The 22166-nt window shown below is 34.3% G+C and overlaps 1 protein-coding gene and 1 long non-coding RNA gene across 16 annotated transcripts in view, besides 2 other annotated features; one reads left to right on the forward strand and one right to left on the reverse strand.

The window, feature by feature from the left end:
* LOC105371659 (uncharacterized) overlaps positions 1 to 15795 on the forward strand; it is a 36078-nt gene extending 20283 nt beyond the window's left edge. Inside the window, exons 2-3 of one of the 2 annotated variants that reach the window (XR_922376.3) lie at positions 367 to 489; positions 15630 to 15795. This is a non-coding gene — a long non-coding RNA (uncharacterized LOC105371659). Of the gene's footprint in view, positions 1 to 366; positions 490 to 2147; positions 2232 to 15629 lie in introns of those variants that run through there. The other variant, XR_007067044.1, reaches the window with a different exon arrangement.
* BRINP3 (BMP/retinoic acid inducible neural specific 3) overlaps positions 1 to 22166 on the reverse strand; it is a 380207-nt gene that overhangs the window by 151589 nt on the left and 206452 nt on the right. For all 14 annotated transcript variants that reach the window (XM_017001129.2, NM_199051.3, XM_017001127.2 and 11 more), the window contains one exon: positions 15619 to 15809. In XM_017001129.2, the coding sequence (XP_016856618.1) occupies positions 15619 to 15809 (191 nt within the window). The remainder of the gene's footprint in view (positions 1 to 15618; positions 15810 to 22166) is intronic.
* Positions 13080 to 13280: a silencer, noted in NCBI's record as "peak563 fragment used in MPRA reporter construct". NCBI's record gives its function as "represses an SCP1 promoter by STARR-seq MPRAs in K562 erythroleukemia cells {active_cell/tissue: K562}" and the evidence as "EXISTENCE:reporter gene assay evidence [ECO:0000049][PMID:32103011]".
* Positions 13400 to 13600: a silencer, noted in NCBI's record as "peak564 fragment used in MPRA reporter construct". NCBI's record gives its function as "represses an SCP1 promoter by STARR-seq MPRAs in K562 erythroleukemia cells {active_cell/tissue: K562}" and the evidence as "EXISTENCE:reporter gene assay evidence [ECO:0000049][PMID:32103011]".

Genomic DNA, 22166 nt, shown 5'->3' on the forward strand with positions numbered 1-22166 from the left:
CAGCAGCCCTAAGCACAGCACAGACACTGAATAAACCTTCACCAAATATGCAAATAAATTTGGTAAATTGTAGACCTCCAGACACATTTACCCTTATATGGAGTACTAAATATTTTTATTATTTCTAGCAATTACAGGATCACTTACTATGTATACATTTTGCTTTAATTTCTAATATTATTAATTTAGGTAAGAGCAATTAAATGTTTTCACTAATCTTATTAAAACAAAAAAATTAATAGATTTTTCAAATGTAAAAAATAGCAACTGATTTCTGTTATAAGCATCAAGAAAAGTAAAATGTGTTAACTTAAGCAAAAATAGTAATATATTATGTCAAAAATATGATAATTTTATAATTTCCAGGTTTACATCATCATTTTCAATGGAAAGGATTCCATTTGGTTTTCAAACTTTAACCTACACCAAATGTGAACGCGTTTGAGAATTTGAACTGAATTGTTTAAGCCATTTTTGAGTTACGTGAAGGTGAGAGTACATTTTTCATGCACCTAGTTAAAGCAGGCCCCAAACTTTTCTACTGATGCATGTCACAAAAGACTAATGATATATATTATATAGTCAACAGTATTATTAAATTTCTTACCAAAACCTCTAAATTTAAAAGGAAAAAATCATTTTTAAGATGACAAAATTTCCATTTATGAGTCCAAGAATTGCTAATAGAAGATTGTAGTTTAAAAGGAAAGAAAATACAATTAAGGTCAACTCAGATTTCTGTCTAAATTAGATAGAAAATGGATATAGGACAAATATCAAATTAGTGTAGCATTTCAGGGCAGAAATGTTATGAAGTTAATGCACTTTAAAATGTAAAAGTAATTTAACCTCAACCTTTTACAATCCACCTAGAGGGAAAAGCAGAAGCTGAAATAGAAATTCTATGCCAAGCACATCCTCTAGTGAGTTTTGATCACTTAAAACTTGAGCTCCTCTTAAGCAGCATAATGGGTAAAATATCCATTATGAAGTGACATAAAATAAATTTGGAATTATATATCACATCACTAATTATTTCTTAAACCTAGCTAAGTTTTATTTAATTCCCTGAGCAAAAAGTGTTCAAATTTAAGACGGAGAAATAATATATTAAATGTTTAGAATGTTAAGGGGGAAAATATGATGTCTTTTTTAACTTGATATTTGTAAATGGCATGTCATATTTTTAAACTCATTTTTACTCCAGCTTGCTGTAGTACTTTTGGGTCTCTACTCACTTCCTTTCCAGTTACCACCAACTTGATAAGCCTGTCCTTTATGTCATTAGTCAAATCAGTGATGAAATGGTTGAATAGGATGGGGTCAGGGGTATTGCATCATTCATTTATAGAGATCATTATCTGTCAGCATTATATGTAATAGGAAATAAGAGACTCTCCAAGTACTGAGCAGCTCTGTAGTATGGTTTAAGATAGTATCGTAAGAATTTAGCTTGGAACAGTATGAAGGCTGCATTTGCCTGATACGCAATGTTCCCCTTGACATATGGGAAGCAGAACCTTAGAATGTTCTACAAACCTCTTTTCCAACCACCATCCAGTGATTATGGGTGGAAATACATAAATTCACCAGATAACTTAGCCTGTATCTCAGGTTCAGTACATTTTCATAAGTTTTAATACAGGATTCTTGTATTGTAGCGTGGTTTTAATAAGGAGTATACCCTTAACTTGGCATGGTGGCTTACACAAGTAATACCAACAATTTGGGTGGTGAAGATGGGAGGATCTCTTGAGGCCAGGAGTTTGAGACCAGGCTGGAAAACACACTGAGACCCCATCTCTATAAATAATAATAACAACAACAATAATAATAATAAAATTTTAAAAAGTAAAACACCCTTAATTTGGTTCCCTTTTTAGCAATTGGTTTCTTTTGGAAAGGGTAAGAGGATTTTGAAATTTCTACTCCCTTACCAAGTTATTTTTCTGTGTTAGAGCTTATTCCTGAGTCCTATGTATTTGCTTGAACTTGTACTTATAACTATGAGCATAATTTTTAAAAATAACATTTATAAAGCACTTAATATGTGCCAGGTACTGTTCTAAGCACCTTAAAAATATTAACTCTCCCTATTTTCCTGACAACCTTATGATGTAAGTGCTATTATTATCTTTCTTTTACAGATTATTAAACTGATACATAGAGATGACAGTTAATTGAGCAAAACGACACAATCAATACGTAGTGATATTGGGACACCAACCTAGGGCCATGTAGCTCTAGAATTAGAGCTCTTCATTTCTCTTCTCTTTGGCCTATTTCTGATATCACATGCCATGCTGAACCAAGGGGTATGTACAAATTGTGTAGAGAAATGAGAAATAAGGAGATACTTCTGTCAAACACTTAACTCTCTGCCTAGGAATGCAATAAAAGAAATTGAGGAAAAGCATGTATATCTAATAATGACTGTGTAACATCTACTGACAGGTAGATAAATCAAATTCAGAACAATATGGGAGGAGTAGAATGCAAAGATGTTTTTTGCATTTCACTTAATATGATATTTAACAATACTCTTTAACAACAACAACCAAAAAAAAAAACATAAAGAGATGGCTCATAAACCATGCTCATACATTTCAAAACCAACAAATAGTTTCCTTATTTACCAGAGATCTTATCAAATGTAGGCAAACTAATCCAGTTTTTCTTTTTATTCAGACAATGATGATTAATAAAAAGATGATTTTGAAAACATTGAGTTCTTATTCATTCAATAGATGAGAGAACACAAGTCTCTCTACTAAAGATTTGTCAGATACACTATAACACAGATTTAATCAAAAGTCACTTTGTATATAGTTTGTAAAGATATTTTTTTCCTTCTAAGAACCTTTATTACTGGCAGCTGATATTTCACAAATTCACCAAAATGCATTCAACAAATATTTGTTGAGTGTCAGCATGTACAATGCTGCTGTGTTCCATGCTCAGTTCTGTGAGCATTTCAAAATGAGAGAGATTCTGCCAAAGAGCTTTACCAATTAGTTACACTGATGGGATTTCCTAGTTTAGCTGTGCTGTGATCTTGATGCACTGGAGACCATGATGTAGAATATACAGAATTATTATAAAAATAGATAGCAACTGTGTGTTGTTAAAAATAAGGTATTTCCAAAAGAGAGTACTGAGTTTTCTTTCTGCTTATTGAAAGAGCTATTACTCCACTACACTGAAGCAGAAGAAATATGAGGATATAGAAAGATTAAGGCCTATTGAGGATTCCTGTGAAACTTTTCAAAGCTGTTTCAGCATACATGCTAAAGTTGTTACCACTTAACTAATTTTAGCAATCTGGAACACTGGGATTGCTGCAGTTTCCGATTGCCACAACATCATCAATTCTGCTCATGCTGAGTTAGGTTCATTTAATTTCAATTAGCATTTATTGAGCTCCTATCTTATACTGAGCTCTGATTGGAGAGATGAGAGAATAAACTACTTCTGTAATAAAATAAGTGCTCGATAACATTATGTTGCATAGCACTTTCAGATGCTAGTTTATTATTATTATTATTATTATTATACTTTAACTTCTAGGGTACATGTGCACAACATGCAGGTTTGTTACTTAGGTATACATGTGCCATCTTGGTTTGCTGCAGCCATTAACTCGTCATTTACATTAGGTATTTCTCTTAATGCTATCCCTCCCCCTGTCCCACACCCCATGACAGACCCCAGGGTGTGATGTTCCCTGCCCTTTGTCCAAGTGTTCTCATTGTTCAACTACCACCTATGAGAACATATGGTGTTTGGTTTTCTGTCCTTGTGACAGTTTGCTCAGAATGATGGTTTCCAGCTGGATTCATTTCCCTGCAAAGGACATGAACTCATCATTTTTTATGGCTGCATAGTATTCCATGGTGTATATGTGCCACATTTTCTTAATCCAGTCTATCATTGATGGACATTTGGGTTGGTTCCAAGTCTTTGCTATTGTGAATAGGGCCTCAATAAACACGTGTGGATGTGTCTTATATTAGCATGATTTAAAATTCTTTGGGTATATACCCAGTAATGGGATCACTGGCTCAAATGGTATTTCTAGTTCTGGATCCTTGAGCAATCACCACACTGTCTTTCACAATGGTTGAACTAGTTTACACTCCCATCAACAGTGTAAAAGCATTCCTATTTCTACACATCCTCTCCAGCATCTGTTGTTTCCTGACTTTTTAATGATTGCCATTATAACTGGTATGAAATGGTATCTCAATGTGGTTTTCATTTGTGTTTCTCTGATGACCAGTGGTGATGAGCATTTTTTCATGTGTCTGTTGGCTGCATAAATGTCTTCTTTTGAGAAGTGTCTGTTCATATCCTTGGCCGAGTTTTTGATGGGGTTGTTTGCTTTTTTTCTTGCAAATTTGTTTAAATTCTTTGTGGATTCTGGATATTAGCCCTTTGTCAGATGGGTAGATTGCAAAAATTTTCTCCCATTCTGTAGGTTGTCTGTTTAGTCTGATAGTAGTTTCTTTGGCCTTGCCGAAGTTCTTTAGTTTAATTTGTGTATTTTGGCTTTTGTTGCCATTGCTTTTGGTGTTTTAGTCATGAAGTCCTTGCCCATGCCTATGTCCTGAATGGTATTGCCTAGGTTTTCTTCTAGGGTTTCTATGGTTTTAGGTCTAACATTTAAGTCTTCGATTCATCTTGAATTAATTTTTGTATAAGGTGTAAGGAAGGGATCCAGTTTCATCTTTCTACATATGGCTAGCCAGTTTTCCCAGCACCATTTATTAAATATGGAATCCTTTCCCCATTTCTTGTTTTTGTCAGGTTTGTCAAGGATCAGATGGTTTTAGATGTGTGGTGCTATTTCTGAGGCCTCTGTTCTGTTCCATTGGTATATATATCTAATTTAGTACCAGTACCATGCTGTTTTGGTTACTGTAGACTTGTAGTATAGTTTGAAGTCAGGTAGTGTGATGCCTCCAGCTTTGTTCTTTTTGCTTAGGATTGTCTTGGCAATGCAGGCTCTCTTTTAATTCCATATGAACTTTAAAATAGTTTTTTTTTTTTTCAACTCTGTGAAGAAAGTCATTTGTAGATTGATGGGGATGCCACTGAATCTATAAATTACCTTGGGCAGTATGGCCATTTTCACGATATTGATTCTTCCTATCCATGAGCATGGAATGTTCTTCCATTGGTTTGTGTCCTCTTTTATTTCGTTGAGCAGTGGTTTGTAGTTCTCCTTGAAGAGGTCCTTCACATCCCTTGTAAGTTGGATTCCTAGGTATTTTATTCTCTTTTTAGCAATTGTGAATAGGAGTTCACTCATGATTTGGCTCTCTGTTTGTCTCTTATTGGTGTATAGGAATGCTTGTGATTTTTGCACATTGATTTTGTATCCTGAGACTTTGCTGAAGTTGCTTATCAGCTTAAGGAAATTTTGGGCTGAGACGATGGGGTTTTCTAAATATACAATCATGTCTTCAGCAACAGGGACAATTTCACTTCCTCTTTTCCTAATTTGATACCATTTATTTCTTTCTCTTGCCTGATTGCCCTGGCCAGAAATTCCAACACTAAGTTGAATAGGAGCAGTGAGAGAGGGCATCTCTGTCTTGTGCCTGTTTTCAAAGGGAATGCTTCCAGTTTTTGCCCATTCAGTATGATATTGTCTGAGTTTGCCATAAATAACTCTTATTATTTTGAGATACATTCCATCAATACCCAGTTTATTGAGAGTTTTTAGCATGAAGCGTTGTTGAATTTTGTCAAATGCCTTTTCTGCATCAATTGAGATAATCATGTGGTTTTTTTTTTCATTGGTTCTGTTTATGTGATGGATTATGGTTATTGATTTGCATATGTCGAACCAGCCTTGCATCCCAGGGTGAAGCTGACTTGATTATAGTGGATAAGCTTTTTGATGTGCTGCTGGATTCGGTTTGCCAGTATTTCGTTGAGGATTTTCACATTGATGTTCATCAGGGATATTGGTCTAAAATTCTCTCTTTTTTTTTTTTTTTGTTGTGTCTCTGTCAGGCTTTGGTATCAGGATGATGCTGGCCTCATAAAATGAGTTAGGGAGGATTCCCTCTTTTTCTATTGATTGGAATGGTTTCAGAAGGAATGGTACCAGCTCTTCTTTGTACCCCTGGTATAATTTGGCTGGGAATCCATCTGGTCCTCGACTGTTTTTGGTTGATATGCAATTAATTATTGTCTCAATTTCAGAGCCTGTTATTGGTCTATTCAGAGATTCAACTTCTCCTGGTTTAGTCTTGGGAGGGTGTAGGTGTCCAGGAATTTGTCTATTTCTTCTAGATTTTCTAGTTTATTTGTGTAGAGGTGTTTATAGTATTCTCAGATGGTAGTTTGTCTTCCTGTGGGATTAGTGGTGATATCCCTTTTGTCATTTTTTATTGCATTTATTTTATTCTTCTCTTTTCTTCTTTATTAGTCTTGCTAGCGATCTATCAATTTTGTCAGTCTTTTAAAAAAACCAGCTCCTGGATTGATTGATTTTTTGAAGGGTTTTTTGGGTCTCTCTCTCCTTCAGTTCTGCTCTGATCTTAGTTATTTCTTGTCTTCTGCTAGCTTTTGAATGTGCTTGCTCTTGCTTCTCTAGTTCTTTTAATTGTGGATTTTAGATCTTTCCTGCTTTCTCTTGTGAGTATTTAGTGCTATAAATTTCCCTCTACACACTGCTTTAAATATGTCCGAGAGATTCTGGTATGTTGTGCCTTTGTTCTCATTGGTTTCAAATAACATCTTTATTTCTGCCTTCATTTTGTCATTTACCCAGTAGTCATTCAGGAGCCAGTTGTTCAGTTTCCATGTAGTTGTGTGGTTTTGAGTGAGTTTCTTAATCCTGAGTTCTAATTTGATTGCACTGTGGTCTGAGAGACAGTTTGTTGTGATTTCTGTTCTTTTCCATTTGCTGAGGAGTTCTTTACTTCCAACTCTGTGGTCAACTTTGGAATAAGTGCGATGTGGTGCTGAGAAGAATGTATATTCTGTTGATTTGTGGTGGAGAGTTCTCTAGATGTCGATTAGGTCTGTTTTATCAGAGACTAGGATTGCAACCCCTGCTTTTTTTTGCTTTCCATTTGCTTGGTAGATCTTCCTCCATCCCTTTATTTTGAGCCTATGTGTCTCTGCACATGAGATGGGTCTCCTGAATACAGCACACTGATAGGTCTTGACTCTGTATCCAATTTGCCACTCTGTGTTTTTAATTGGGGCATTTAGCCCATTTATATTTAAGGTTAATATTGTTATGTGTGAATTTGATCTTTTCATTATGATGTTAGCTGGTTATTTTGCCCGTTAGTTGATGCAGTTTCTTCCTAGCATCGATGGTCTTTACAATTTGGCATGTTTTGCAGTGGCTGGTACCGGTTGTTCCATTCCATGTTTAGTGCTTCCTTCAGGAACTCTTGTAAGGCAGGCCTGGTGGTGACAAAATCTCTCACCATTTGCTTGTCTGTAAATGATTTTATTTCTCCTTAAATTATGAAGCTTAGTTTGAGCTGGATATGAAATTTTGGGTTGAAAACTCTTTTCTTTAAGAATGTTGACTACTGGCCCCCACTGTTTTCTGGCTTGTAGAGTTTCTGCAGGTAGAACTTCTTTTAGTCTGACGTGCTACCCTTTGTGGGTAACCCGACCTTTCTCTCTGGCTGCCCTTATTATTTTTCCCTTCATTTCAACCTTGGTGAATCTGACAATTATGTGTCTTGTGGTTGCTCTTCTAGAGGAGTATCTTTGTGGTGTTCTCTGTATTACCTGAATTTGAATGTTGGCCTGACTTGCTAGGTTGGGGAAGTTCTCCTGGATGATATCCTGAAGAGTGTTTTCCAACTTGGTTCCATTCTCCTGTCAGTTTCACGTACACCAATCAAACGTAGATTTAGTCTTTTCACATATTCCCATATTTCTTGGAGGCTTTGTCCGTTTCTTTTTACTCTTTTTTCTCTAAACTTCTCTTCTTGCTTTATTTCATTAATTTGATCTTCAATCATTGATACCCTTTCTTCCACTTGATCAAATTGGCTAGTGAAGCTTGTGCATGTGTCATGTAGTTCTCGTGCCATGGTTTTCAGCTCCATCGGGTCATTTAAGGTCTTCTCTACACTGTTTATTCTAGTTAGACATTTGTCTAATCTTTTTTCAAATTTTTTAGCTTCCTTGCGATGGGTTCGAACATCGTCCTTTAGCTGGGAGATGTTTGTTATTACTGACCTTCTGAAGCCTACTTCAGAGTTATTCTCCATCTAGCTTTGTTCTGTTGCTGGTGAGGAGCTGTGATCTTTTGGAGAAGAAGAGGTGCTCTGGTTTTCATAATTTACAGCTTTTCTGCTCTGGTTTCTCCCCATCTTTCTAGTTTTATCTACCTTTGGTCTTTGATGTTGGTAACCTACAGATGGGGTTTTGGTGTGGATTTCCTTTTTGGTGATATTGATGATATTCCTTTCTGTTTGTTAGTTTTCCTTCTAACAGTCAGATCCCTCAGCTGCAGGTCTGTTGGGGTTTGCTCGGAGGTCCACTCCAGACCCTGTTTGCCTGGGTATCACCAGTGGAGGCTGCAGAGCAGCAAATATTGCTGCCTGTTCCTTCCTCTGGAAGCTTCGTCCCAGAGGGGCACCCACCTGTATGAGGTGTCAGTTGGCCTCTACTGGGAGGTGTCTCTCAGTTAGGCTACATGGGGGGTCAGGGACCCACTTGAGGAGGCAATCTGTCCATTCTCTGAGCTCAAACACCATGCTGGGGGAACCACTGCTATTTTCAGAGCTGTCAGACAGAGACGTTTAAGTCTGCAGAAGTTTCTGCTGCCTTTTGTTCAGCTATGCCCTGCCCCCAGAGGTGGAGTCTACAGAGGCAGTAGGCCATGCTGAACTGTGGGGGGCTCTGCCCAGTTCAAGCTTCCCCAGCTGCTTTGTTCAACTACTCAAGCCTCAGCAATGACGGACGCCCCTCCCCCTGCCAGGCTACTGCCTTGCAGGTCAATCTCAGTCTGCTGCCCTAGCAGTGAGCAAGGCTCCGTGGGCATGGGACCTCACTGAGCCAGGCACGGGATATAATCTGGTGTGTCATTTGCTAAGACCATACCTGGAAAAACGGGACACTCCCACCCAAATACTGCACTAGTTATTGTTTTAAGAGCTTTTCAAATATTAACTCATTGGAAAAATAAAAAAAAACAACAAAATACAGAAAATTCAATAAAACTAAAAGCTCATTCTTGGAAAAGATCAACGAAGTTGAAAAAAAAGTTTACCTTGATTGATCAAGATAAAAAGAGAAAACTCATGTAACTAAAAGTAAGGAAACTAGAAATAACTAAAAATCAGGAATAAATTAGGGATATTACTACTGGCCTTACAGAAACACAAAGAATATTAAAGAAATACTATGAACAATTGCATGCCAACAAATTGTATAATTTCAATGAAATGGAAACATTTCTAGGAAGACAGAGACTTTCTTAAGTGATGACCTTGATTTCTTTTATCACATAGAATATGAAGGTCATTGCTCAGGTTTAGAAGGGCCAAGCCTGGATAGAGTTGGTGAGGACAGTGATAAATGTTTGGAGGAGCCATGTAGCCACAAGATAAAGCTGAACAAGGGCTAGGCATAGTGGTTCAAGCCTGTAATCTTAGCACTTGGGGTGGCCAAAGTTGGAGGATCTCTTAAGCCCCTTAAGTTCTTGAAACTGAACTCAAGAAGAAATACACAGTATGAATAAACCTAGTGAAGAGATTGAACTAATAACCAAAATCTACCTACAAAGAAAAGTTCACATCTAGATGGTTTCACCACTAAATTCAACCAAAAACTCAAGGAAGAATTAATACCAATTCTTCATAAACTCTTTCACAAAATAGAAGTGGAAGGAATATTTCCCGATTCCTTTTATGAGGCCAGTATTACCGCCTACCAAAACCAGACAGATGTATCTCAGGAAAATATAGTCCAATATCCACTTTGAATATAGGCATACCAATCCTCAGCAAACTACTGGCAAACTAGATCTAGCCACATATAAAAGAAATATACACATTGACCAGATGAGATTTAGCCCAAAGAATGCAAAGTTTATGCAACATCCTAAAATCAACTAATGTAATAAATCATGTAAATAGAATTAAAAAATAAAAATTACATGCTTAATAGACATAAAATGCATTTGACAAAATCAACACATTTTCATGTAAAAAACACTCACCAAGCTATGAATTAAAAAGAACTTCCTCCATGTATTAAAGAGCATGTATGAAAAACCCACAGATAACATCCTAGATAATAATGAGAGAAGGAACACTTTCTTCCTAAGAGCAGGACAAAGAAAGAATTTCCATTCTCACCACCAGGAGAATTAGGCAAAAAATAAATAAATAAATAAATAAATAAATAAATAAATAAATAAATAAATAAAATAAAGTGCAATACAGACTGGACAAGAAGTACAATTGTCTCTGTTTGCAGATAACATTATCTAATAGAAAGTCTCAAAGAAGGCCAGGCATGGTGGCTCACACCTGCAATCCCAGCACTTTAGGAGGCTGAGGCGGGTGAAACACCTGAGGTCAGGAGTTCAAGACCAGCTTGACCAATATGTGAAACCCGGTCTCTACTTAAAATACAAAAATTAGCCAGGCGTGGTGGCAGGCATCTTAGTCCCAGCTACTTGGGAGGCTGAGATAGGAGAACTGCTTGAGCCTGGGAGTCAGAGGTTGCAGTTAGCCAACATTGAGCCACTGCACTCCAGCCTGGGCAACAGAGTGAGACTCCATCTCAAAAGAAATTGGAAAAAAAAAAAAGAAGCAACTTAAGAACCACAAAAAAAAAAAAGAAAAAGAAAAGGAAAGCAAAAACAGAGTGGTTACTAGGATGGGAGAGGTGGTAGAGGGAGGTCATGAGGTCATGACAAGATATTAGGTCAATGAGCACAAAGTTGCAGTTATATAAGATGAATAAATGTAGAGATCCAATGTATGACATGAAGATTATAGTTAAAAATATTGTATCACCTAGTGGAAATTTGCAAAGAGAATAGATTCTAGCTGCTCTCACCACAAAGAAAAAAAGTATGTAAGATGAAAAGATGATTGGTATGGTAATTTGCTTGGCTGTAGTAACCATTTCACTATGTTTAAATACATTAAAACACTATGTTGTACACCCTAAATATATACAATCAAAAAGAGTACCAAATATGAATCTTTCCTATAAATGTAAAATATAAAATGTGCAACAATTATGAATGGTCCATATGCATATTTTCTTGGGTATTCTTAAAGTAAGTTTTAAAAACATATATATATATAGAGAGAGAGAGGTAAAATTAAAAATAAATATATTATCATTTTACTGATTTTGCCCCCAAATAACAAATAATTTACTTATCAAAACTGCTTCTTGGAAAAGTATTGTCATGTTTAATTTCATAAATAGCTTTAAAATTTTAATGTAATGTATTTTATAATTTCAGAAATGTAAATTTAGAGTTAGCTCTAGTGCCTTTTCAACATCACCTGCAACACTCTTAAGTTAACTATGCAGCAGTAAAAACTCATTTCAAGATGGATTTTTTTAAGCTGAAATACTGACCTTCAAGTTAATTGTAATATACTGTTTCTACTTATTCCTAGGTTTGCTGCTCAAAACTTTCCAAACACTATAATTCTGAAAGCTATCTGATTGTCTTTTCTTTTCTACATTTCAAGAATACAAGAAACACAGTAACATATCAGTAATTATTTTTGAAAATAATTACTTTTAAAACTTTTTAGTAGAGTCCTATTATAAAAACTTAATTTTACTCAGTGCATTATTTCTAAAAATTAAAATAACAAGAAAATTCTCTTTGAAAATATGTGTGACATAATATGTCAGGTGATAGATTAAATATCTTTTCAAAATATACAATGTATTGTGTTTTTCTCATCACCGTCAATTATATAGCATTAACGTTTATTAGACTATTTAAAAATAAAAATATGTTAGTATAATTTTTTGAATAACTTAAGTCAATTGAATTGAGTCTCGGTAGAAAATAATGACCAACTCTAGACATTACACTTCACATTTTATTGGACTACAAATAATATTGTGAAATAAAATTTGATATAAACACTATTAATTGCAAGAGTATAGCAATTAATTAAGCTATGGATGTTTGTGTCAGTGTTTTTTATTTACAGATTAACAAAGTATAGTCTACATTTATATTCATAATTATAAAAGACAAAACAAACATATTGCTTTATTCCACTTTCTAGAAACTGGCTCATAGTTAAATTGCTTAACTCCTGTGATTTGTAAGAATTAGCGTGATAAAAGCTGGCATGATTTTGTAGATCTAATTATATTTTTGCTGTTACCTGATAACAGTTCTGTTTACTTTATTTTTTACCAATTATCTGTCTCCTAAATTCTGTAAATCACAGAACAACTTCATTCAATATTTGCTCTAGAAATTAAATACCTACTATATGTCACTTAAAACACAACTTACATTACCAAATCAAAGAAATTGTGAATCTTGTTATCCTTAGTTTGACAATTTAAAGCATACAAGCAATGCATTGAACCTTTAGGTATTTAGTAAAGGAATTAAGATCTTGGTTTCAGAGACTACAAGAGCACTTTACATCGAATTGTTTATTCAACTAGAAAATATTTCAGTAGTTGAATACCCTTGGATCCAGCCTACTGAAGTCCCCTCACACATCTACTCAGTTCCTCATATTTACTTCTAAGCACTTGCAATCTTAGTCATACTTATAAATGAAGGGGGACACCTTTTACCTGTGCAGGGACACATTTGATAAGTAATAAAAATAAAAGATACTCTCCATACAAAATTGCACAGACACATCAGTGTTCATGTAACTCAGAGCTGTCGACTTCCTGCAGTGCACATGATCATGGGTTTCTGGCTCCACTCTTGCTTGAACACAGCACACAAGCACAATGCCCTTCCCTGGAACCTTCATAATAACCCTGAGTGCAGCTAACCTTGGCCTGGAAAATCATCAGCTACTTAAAATTACAGCTGCCTGAGAAGGAAATTCCCCTGAGGTCTAAATTAAACCCTGAAAGGTGTAATTGCTCTCCACTCTTTCCTATTCCCCGCTACCTCACCACCTCACGCTTGCACTCCCTATGAATTTCCATGCCTGTATTCTTGGCTATGTTGTTACCAGCTGGTGCTTATCTTATTTCCTTTTTTCCTTAGTTACAGCACAAGATGGGTACTTCTGTTCACAATGATATAGACCCTGTATCATTCCCACTGTTTGCTGTTTCCTCCACCTAGTATGAAGCCCCCTTTCCACCCATCTCCAGCTACTCTACACACACTTTAAATCATTTTTATTATGAGCACTGGAACTCCTTTCCATGGTTAACGGACAATGGGCATTCCCCGTGGCCCTGTCAAGGTGAGACTGTTGACTCCCAAATTCCAGATTACTCTTTCTTCCCTCTCAGAACTGCTTAGATGACACACTTCCTATAAGTGTCACTTCTTTGGGACTCGTTTTGACCACACAGCTAGATTATAGACTTAATGAATCATCATTATTCCCATTTGTATTAACAGAGTCTAAATACAATGCCTGTATATAACAGTATGCCTCATTAAAACATATATATATACATATGTGTGTGTGTGTGTATATATATATATTTCTTTTTTTGTGCCACATACTTCTCCTGTGGGAGAAGAGAAGTATATGCAAATACCCATTATGTTTTGATGTGAAATGTGCCTGTATATTTCTTACTTAGAGTACAAAAACTGTTGTATAATTTCACAGACACACTTGGTGCTGAACAGCAACAACAAAAATCAATAGCTATATAATAAAATCATTTACAACAATGATTTCTTCTATTAGAAAATACAGTTTGACCAAAGTTTCTGTTTAAATCCTTGAAATTGATTTCTGGAAAAGTTTAGTTTTCCTCAGCAACCACAAGCTAAGTTTCTCTAACAACATCTTACAAAATTTTTAAATTAACTGAAACATCTGCATTCATGCTGGCTACATTTTTATCTGTACGGCATAAATATTATTTATATACTTGTTACTCAATATAACATTAGTCCTAGAGTCAGAAGCCAACTAACTATATTGCATGATTTGTATCTACTGAAGTCTGTTTCCCAACATCATCTACTAGCAACATTAGGATTTTGTCATATTGTTTAAGTAACCCTTAAGCTAAAGGTATTTCCACATCACCTTTAATTTTCTCCAGTACATCCCGAACAAAAAGATATACTTGGAGCAATCTTCCGAGCATTCTAACCCATTTATGGATTTAAGTTGAAAGTTGAAGTAGTAACTTTTTTTTTTTTTTTTTTTTGAAACAGAGTCTCGCTCTGTCGCCCAGACTGGAGTGCAGTGGTGTGATCTCCGCTCACTGCAAGTTCTGCCTCCCAGGTTCATGCCATTCTCCTGCCTCAGCCTCCCAGTAGCTGGGACTACAGGTTCCCGGCACCACACCCAGCTAATTTTTTGTATTTTTAGTAGAGAGGGTTTCACTGTGTTAGCCAGCATGGTCTCGATCTCCCGACCTCAAGTGATCCCCCCGCCTCGGCCTCCCAAAGTGCTGGGATAACAGGCCTGAGCCACCGTGCCAGGCCTAAGTAACTTTTCAACTGACACAACAATGAACACACATTAATTTTAGTTTCATAAAGTAATACAACGTTACATTTAATCATTCCTTTTTGTATTGACTATGAAAGGTTAGATTTGAAACACTCCAAAATGCTCTCTCTATATTATTTTGTTATGGTTAACTTAGGCTAGGATCATACTCTTCTGACTGTTAATTTTACAATGGCCATTTGACAAATGAAATTACATTGACCTAATTTGCCAGAGAATATGTCTAAAACTTATTGTTTAGGAGACAACAATTTCTCCTCTCTGTCTCTCAATCTCTTTCTCTCATTTTCTTTTTTTTCTTTTGAAAATCAGAACTAAATTATTCTCCTCTTTTCTCAGTTTTGATAAAGTCAACCTTAGTGTATTCAAAGTCAAATGACTTTAGTGAACACATAATATTAATCCACCAATTCTAGATTATGTTATATTTTGCCTCCTAGAAACCCATATAACCATGCACCTGTACATCTTAACATATCTTAAAAACATTGAGGGGTCATTTTCTATGAAGCAGGACTTCTTAAAAATATTTTGTGCCATGGACGACTTTAAGCCTGATAAAGCCTCTCTTCTCAGAATAGTATTTTTAAGTGGGTAAAATAAATTAAGGAGAATTATAAAAGAAATTGATGTTATTAAAACAAATTTGTATTCATGTTTATTTTGTGAGGGAGTCTGTGTACCCCAAGATAAATTCATACAATTCAAATATACTTTAATTACATTTAACCATGAAAAATCTTGACCTACTTATCAAGTAAATATTATATTGAAATACATACAATTTCATCTTAAATATATTACATAACTGAAAGCAAGAAAATTGTAAATATATTTTTATAAAATAATTGTTTAAATTCATGGAATAAGCAAATACATAAAAATGCCTTTTGGATATAGAGGAAACAAACAATGGAAGGTGATAATTTTAGCGTAAACTCATTCTTACCTTTATGGCAGTGGATGCAATTTGAATGTGGTGAAGTCTCCGAAGGGTGCTGTCCCTGTCAATGAAATAAGAAGCGGCTAGCTGATGTAGCGTCTCCAGAGTGACCGAAGAGCTATTGGTGGTGGAATCACTTCCTTCAGCTCGTTTGCTCAACTTCCGCTTGTCCACAAAAATTGTGAGTGACTCCTCTCCTGCATTAATAATATTTCAAATTATTCAATTTTCCACTTAAAATCTTTTTTTTTAACTTATCTGCAGGTGGAAAGGTCTAGCTTATGAATATAGTAAAACAAAGGAGTGATATATGCCAAAAGGGCAAGGGGTTTTATTTTTGGTCACAGATATTTCTCAAGTACCTCAAAAAGTGCCTGGGATATTGGTCACTTTAAACACGTAGTTACTGAATGTCAGATATTTAGCTTTTGCAGAACAGTTTCTCCAGATTTTATTGACTTTCTAACAAAGTTTAGCATAACACTCATATGGTCCAAAATAAAATTAATTTATGGAAAACAAACAAGTGAGGGGCATAAAATGAAACTGTATTTTACTCAGGGCCGGGCACGGTGGCTCACGCCTGTAATCCCAGCACTATGGAAGGCCGAGGTGGGCGGATCATGAGGGCAGGAGATCGAGACTATCCTGGCTAACACGGTGAAACCCCGTCTCTACTAAATATATATATATATATATATATAAATTAGCCGGGCGTGGTGGCGGGCGCCAGTAGTTCCAGCTACTCCGGAGGCTGTGGCAGAAGAATGGCGTGAACCCGGGAGGCGGAGCTTGCAGTGAGCGGAGGTTCCCGCCACTGCACTCCAGCCTGGGCGACAGAGCGAGACTCCGTCTCAAAAATAAATAAATAAATAAATAAAAAGAAAGAAATTGCATTTACTCAGAAATTTTTACCATAGAATAGAATATCCAAATGGAAATATGACAAAGCACTAGTTTTCATCTGCACCTTTAAAATTCAGATAAAGCATGTGTATGCATATACAGGTATGTATATATATGTAATAAATTCAGAATTTCCCTGCATAGGATATATTGAAACATTGTGTGTTAATACACTGTGTGAAAAACACTGAAATCTATGTAGGATTTAGGTAGTAGCAATTGGTTCTCAAACGTAAAACGTAAAGTGTATTACAATTAAGCTGAACTTTTCAATGTCCAAAAGACAAAAATCCATGTCATTGAAGTTAGACATTAAGAACTTGTGATCCTCCGACAAACATATTATCGGATACTCATCTAGCACATAATTGTCAAACTTGCTGTTTTCATTCTTTCAGCAACCCTTTTGTTTGGGTAGTATTGTGCCCATTTATAAACTAATAAGTCACTTTTATGAAAAGGCAAATAAGTTTGTCTAATAGAATAGTTTGCATTTCCTCTCTTTCTTACAATAATATCAATTTTAAAATGACATAGCCCAGGTGACAATCCAATCTTAAGTAAGAGCTCTTACATGTCTACCAGAGATCAGTTCAGCTTCTCTCAGAAATAGATTTCAACAAATATTATTTCTAAAACTCACATTTCTTGTTGGTATTTGGACCCCAACATGCATATTAGAAATCAGTTAGAGGAAGGAGAATAGTTTAAGAAAAAACATATATCTCAAGAATAAATAGGTGGGTCAAATCATCAACAATATTAGGTAGTGTAAATGAAAAACAGCTTTGGAGTAGAGGCAGCTAAAAGAGAAAAAGAATACATACATAAATGCTATAAAATAAACAAACAAAAAATCCCCTACAATCATTCTCTCCAAGAAAAAGATCAACAGGTGAGGAAATTTCAGGAAGTGCATCTCAGAATGACCAATGAATCAGAAAAACTCATCCACGTGATAAGTCGTGAGAGTGCCAAAACATACAAATACCCTGTAGATAGATGTAGAAAGAACACCAGTGGTATGGTGGTCTAAGTAAGTACTCACAGTGTAGTTCTGTGAATTATGCAAGAGACATGTCTAAATAAGGAAAATTAAAAATAAAATGACAGAGACATCTTGGTAAATGTAGATTAAAAATAAAGCTAAGAATCTTGATATTAGAGAATTTAGGTGAAAAATTATTAAATGAGAAAAAATAGCAATGTAGTGCTAGTAACAGAAACTTGCAACGTTGCTTTAACAGCAACACTTTTCATAAAGCACAAGATACAGGAGCAATAGACATACACTGATATTATGAGACTTCAACACATATTTCTTTCTAGGTACAAAGGGGATAAAAGTAATGATAGAAATATATACAACCTCAAAATAAGGTAGATCTTATCAATAAATTGTAAACCTTATGTTAAGAATAGTGCAAATAAAACTTACTTTCAATAATACACAGAACATTTACAAACGGTGACCATGTATTTTGTTACAAAGAAACCTTTAGTAAATTCCATAAATTTGTAAGAATATAGTATGACTCACTGATGGCAATAAAAAACCTAAAAGTTAACAGAAAATTTAAAAAGATATTACTATTACATGTGAAAATTCCCTATTGTATAATATTTGAATGATAGGCTAACTTAAGGCAAAATTACAAATTTTAAAGGAAAATGTTATACATCAGAATTTAAGGAACACAGCTAAAGCACTGCTGAGAGAAATATCTATAACATACATGAGTTAACTACATGATTCTAAAATCAAAAAAATGATAAAAAAGCTTATATCCAATAAAAATAAATACAAAGGTAAAAGCAGGTGTTCGTTGTTTTTTAAAAGAGTGGAAACGATAAACACAACCAAAAGTAGCTTCTTTCAGGAGAAAAAACACCGATTAGTTAACCTACTTTTTTTCTTCATGGAAAAAGAAAATTACATAACGAATTGACAGAATAAATATATAATAAAACAGAGAATAGAGCATTTACTTAAAAACAGGGAAGAATTATTTTCTAAACCATATTGCAAATAAGATTAGGTGTTACAGAACACCTTCCCCACAACCCCCCAAAAAATTAACATACCCAAATAGTTCACAGTGGATTTTTGCCTGAAGTTTAAATATAAAAAAATTGATAATACTGAAAATGTAAAACTTCTAAATCTATTTTTATAAACTGAGTGTAAGATTAGCACAGATATCTAAAAATCATCATATACAATATATTTTACAATTAATAAATATTGAAGCAAAATTATGACTAAAACAATAATGAACAATATCCAACAGTAACTATTAAAAATGCTTATCTCATGACCAATAGGATAATTCCAATACTGCAAAACTGGCTCAATAGTAGGAAATCATTAATATAATTCAGCATATTAACACATCCAGAAACAAAAACGCTGCTATCCTCTATTACTTAAAATACATTTATGAATAATTATAACTATTTATGATTAACTAAGAATTAATAAATTAGGAATCAATGAATAACAATGTTTTTTCCCATAGAGATGGAGTCTCACTGTGTTGCCCAGGCTGATCTCAAACTTCTGGCCTCAAGTGATCCTCCCACCTCAGCCTCCCAAAGTGCTGGGATTGCTGCCATGAGCCACTCCACCTTGTAAATACTTCTTTAAAGAAGTGAAATATAGGATCCTAAGCATAAAAGCCAGCAACTTTCTTAATGGGGAAACACAGGAGGCATCTCTATTAAAATCAGAACCAGACAAACATACCCACAGTTGCTTCTATTATTCAACATGCTAATAAATATATTAAAATGTAAACCTAGAAGAGAATGCAGATTAGAATCACAGTGTCAGAAAAAACACTTAAACTATGTTTATTTCGCAGATAATATGATTATGCAGGTGAAAATTCAAAATTTAATAGACAAACTACTGCACATATACAGTAACAAAACTTAGTAAGGTACAAGCAAATAATAAAAATATTACTATCTCAATAGACTGAAACACACGAATATTATCTAAGCATAAATAATAATGGATTAGATCACACCATTTAAACAGCACAAAAAATGTGAAACATACATGAAAAGATTTGTAAATCACTTCTGAAAGTTGCCATAATAGACCTTATTAAATGACATGATCGATTTTTTCTTGAGCATAAATATTCAACATCAAAATATATCAGTTTATATTAATATTTTGTTTCCTGGAAGTAGGAAAATTAGTCATGTCAGCAATGAATTGTAAGTGAAAAAAGTAAGAAAGACTTAAAAAGAATAGGCAAGAATGAGAACATCTTACCATATCTGAATGCAAATTGTAAAATCTGTATAATTAAACAGTGCAGGCTGACACATGAATAGGCAGACAAAGTAGAACAGGAAAAATATCCATAAAATAACAAGTACATGTGGAAACTTCGCATGTAATAAGAGTGGGATAGTAATTCCTTGGGAAAAGATAGACTTTTTACTAAGTGACACCTAAATAGCAATTTGGAAAACAAGGGAGATGATTCTATCAAAGGATAAACTCCAAACAGATTAGAGACATGATTATTTAATGAAATGAAACCATTTGAGTACTAGAGGAAAGTTCATGAAAATACAAAGGAAGGAAATAATTCATAACTAAAAATCCAACAGTAAGGACATAAAACATTCATGAATTAGAACAAGTAAAACCAGATTTTTTCAGCACAAAATCACAAATAAAACAAATTGCATTGATACGGAATATTTACAACTTATATAACGGACAAATGGTTAATTCCTCTAACATTCCAAGAACTCCTAGAAATCAAGGAAAAGGAAAACAAGAATCAGACAGAAAAACAGGAATAAATAGGAAAAGAGTGTTCAGACAAAAACAGATAAAACTAGCCCACATAGATTTGAAAATATATTCAATCTAAGTCATAGCATGAGAAATACAAATTAAAAGTAATTGCTATATTACTTTGCAATGACAGAATTTGCTAAAATCCATACTTTGACAACTTGGGCAAATCTATTGGAAAAGTAGAAATAAACAGGCCTTCTGATGTATTGTTGGTGGGATTGCAAAATGATACAACTTACATACAGGGAACATTGGCAATATATATCAATAATCTACTCCACAATCCTACTTTTTAGAATGTATTTCAAAGGATGACTGACTAAAACATGCAAAACATGTCTCACTGTGGCTTTATTATTGACATTTGGCAACAACATAAATGCCCATCGGTAGGAATAAACTAGGTTACAACCATACGGTAGAACACTGTGCAGCCAGAAGAAGGCAGCAAAGATTATTTCTACGGAGATCTCATAAAGTGGATAAAAATTGTTTCTGAAAAGTTTTTTATAAGAAAAGGGTAGATACAAGTATAAAGATATATGTATTTGTTTCTTTTTATTTGGAAAAAAGCATCAAACACTGGAAGGATTAACCAAAAGTATTTATGAATATTTACCTACAGGAACAGGAAAATCAACATAGATAGAAATATGATATTTAAAGAAACACTTTTGGAAGAAAGTTTCCTCTGAACATATTTTATCATGTTGTTTAGGCACTAGAAACATTTTTAAAATTATTTATTATTTATTTATAAAAATAAAATTATATCAAATTTTAAAAGCCATCCCTAAAAAATAAAAACAGAATCCAGTGATACTAATTGTATATCATGTTTGTAAAAATAAGTGACTTAAGAACACATTATTTTGAATGTAAATCAATTTTTGGAATATATTCTGAAGACGAATAAAGGTACAAAGAATCAATAAACTTTATACCTGGTGCATGAGCAGCATACTCATAGTAGTACGGTTTTATGCAGTATGTTGTTACATATGAGTATATGGGTATTCATTGTACAAATATCTCTATTTTGGGTATCTTTGAAAAGTCATTGAAGACAAAATCATAATGGGACGAGTATTCATAACTCCTGTTCTACATCTGGCCCAGGTTTAAAATATATTGTTTTATAATAAAAATATCCTGAAGTAATTGGTAAGTTCATAACCAATACTATAGCTAAAATAAAGCTCTAAAGGATTCGGCTATTCCCAGATGATTACACTTGGAAAATGCATTAAAATGTTGAAGAAGCATCCAAGATCAACCCTCATGCATTCAATGTTTTATACACATTCTTGTATTTGGAAGGAGACTTCCACGTTTTTAAAAACATAATAATTATATCAAATATTTTCTTCAATTGAGTAATATATTAAATTCAAAACATTTGATCCAATTAACCAATTGGACATTAGTTTTGCCTCCTGGAGATGCAAGAAAGCCATTTTAAATATGTGAAAAGAGTCATTTTCAGTAAGTCTCCCTTTGTATGGTAGTGAATTTTCCTATTACTGAAGGTGTTGCAACATTAATTGAAAATCTATATGTTGTTGAACAGAAGAGATAATTAGACCAATAGAAGGCATTCTTTCACTGGTTTATGAGGTCCTGGAAGACAGAAATGTATAATCAGTTTTAGTTTAGATGTAAGTGTACCAAGTTTTACTGTCAAACAGATTTGGGTTCTAATGCTGGTTTCAATTTAGTAACTGAATGATCTTGAACAACACATCTTAGGACTCAGTTTCCTTTTATGGAACATTAGCATAGTAATTATTTTCTCAAAGAGCAGTTGTAAGCTGAAATAGAT

This window comes from Homo sapiens, chromosome 1, assembly GCF_000001405.40.
Source record: "Homo sapiens chromosome 1, GRCh38.p14 Primary Assembly".
NCBI lineage: Eukaryota > Metazoa > Chordata > Mammalia > Primates > Hominidae > Homo > Homo sapiens.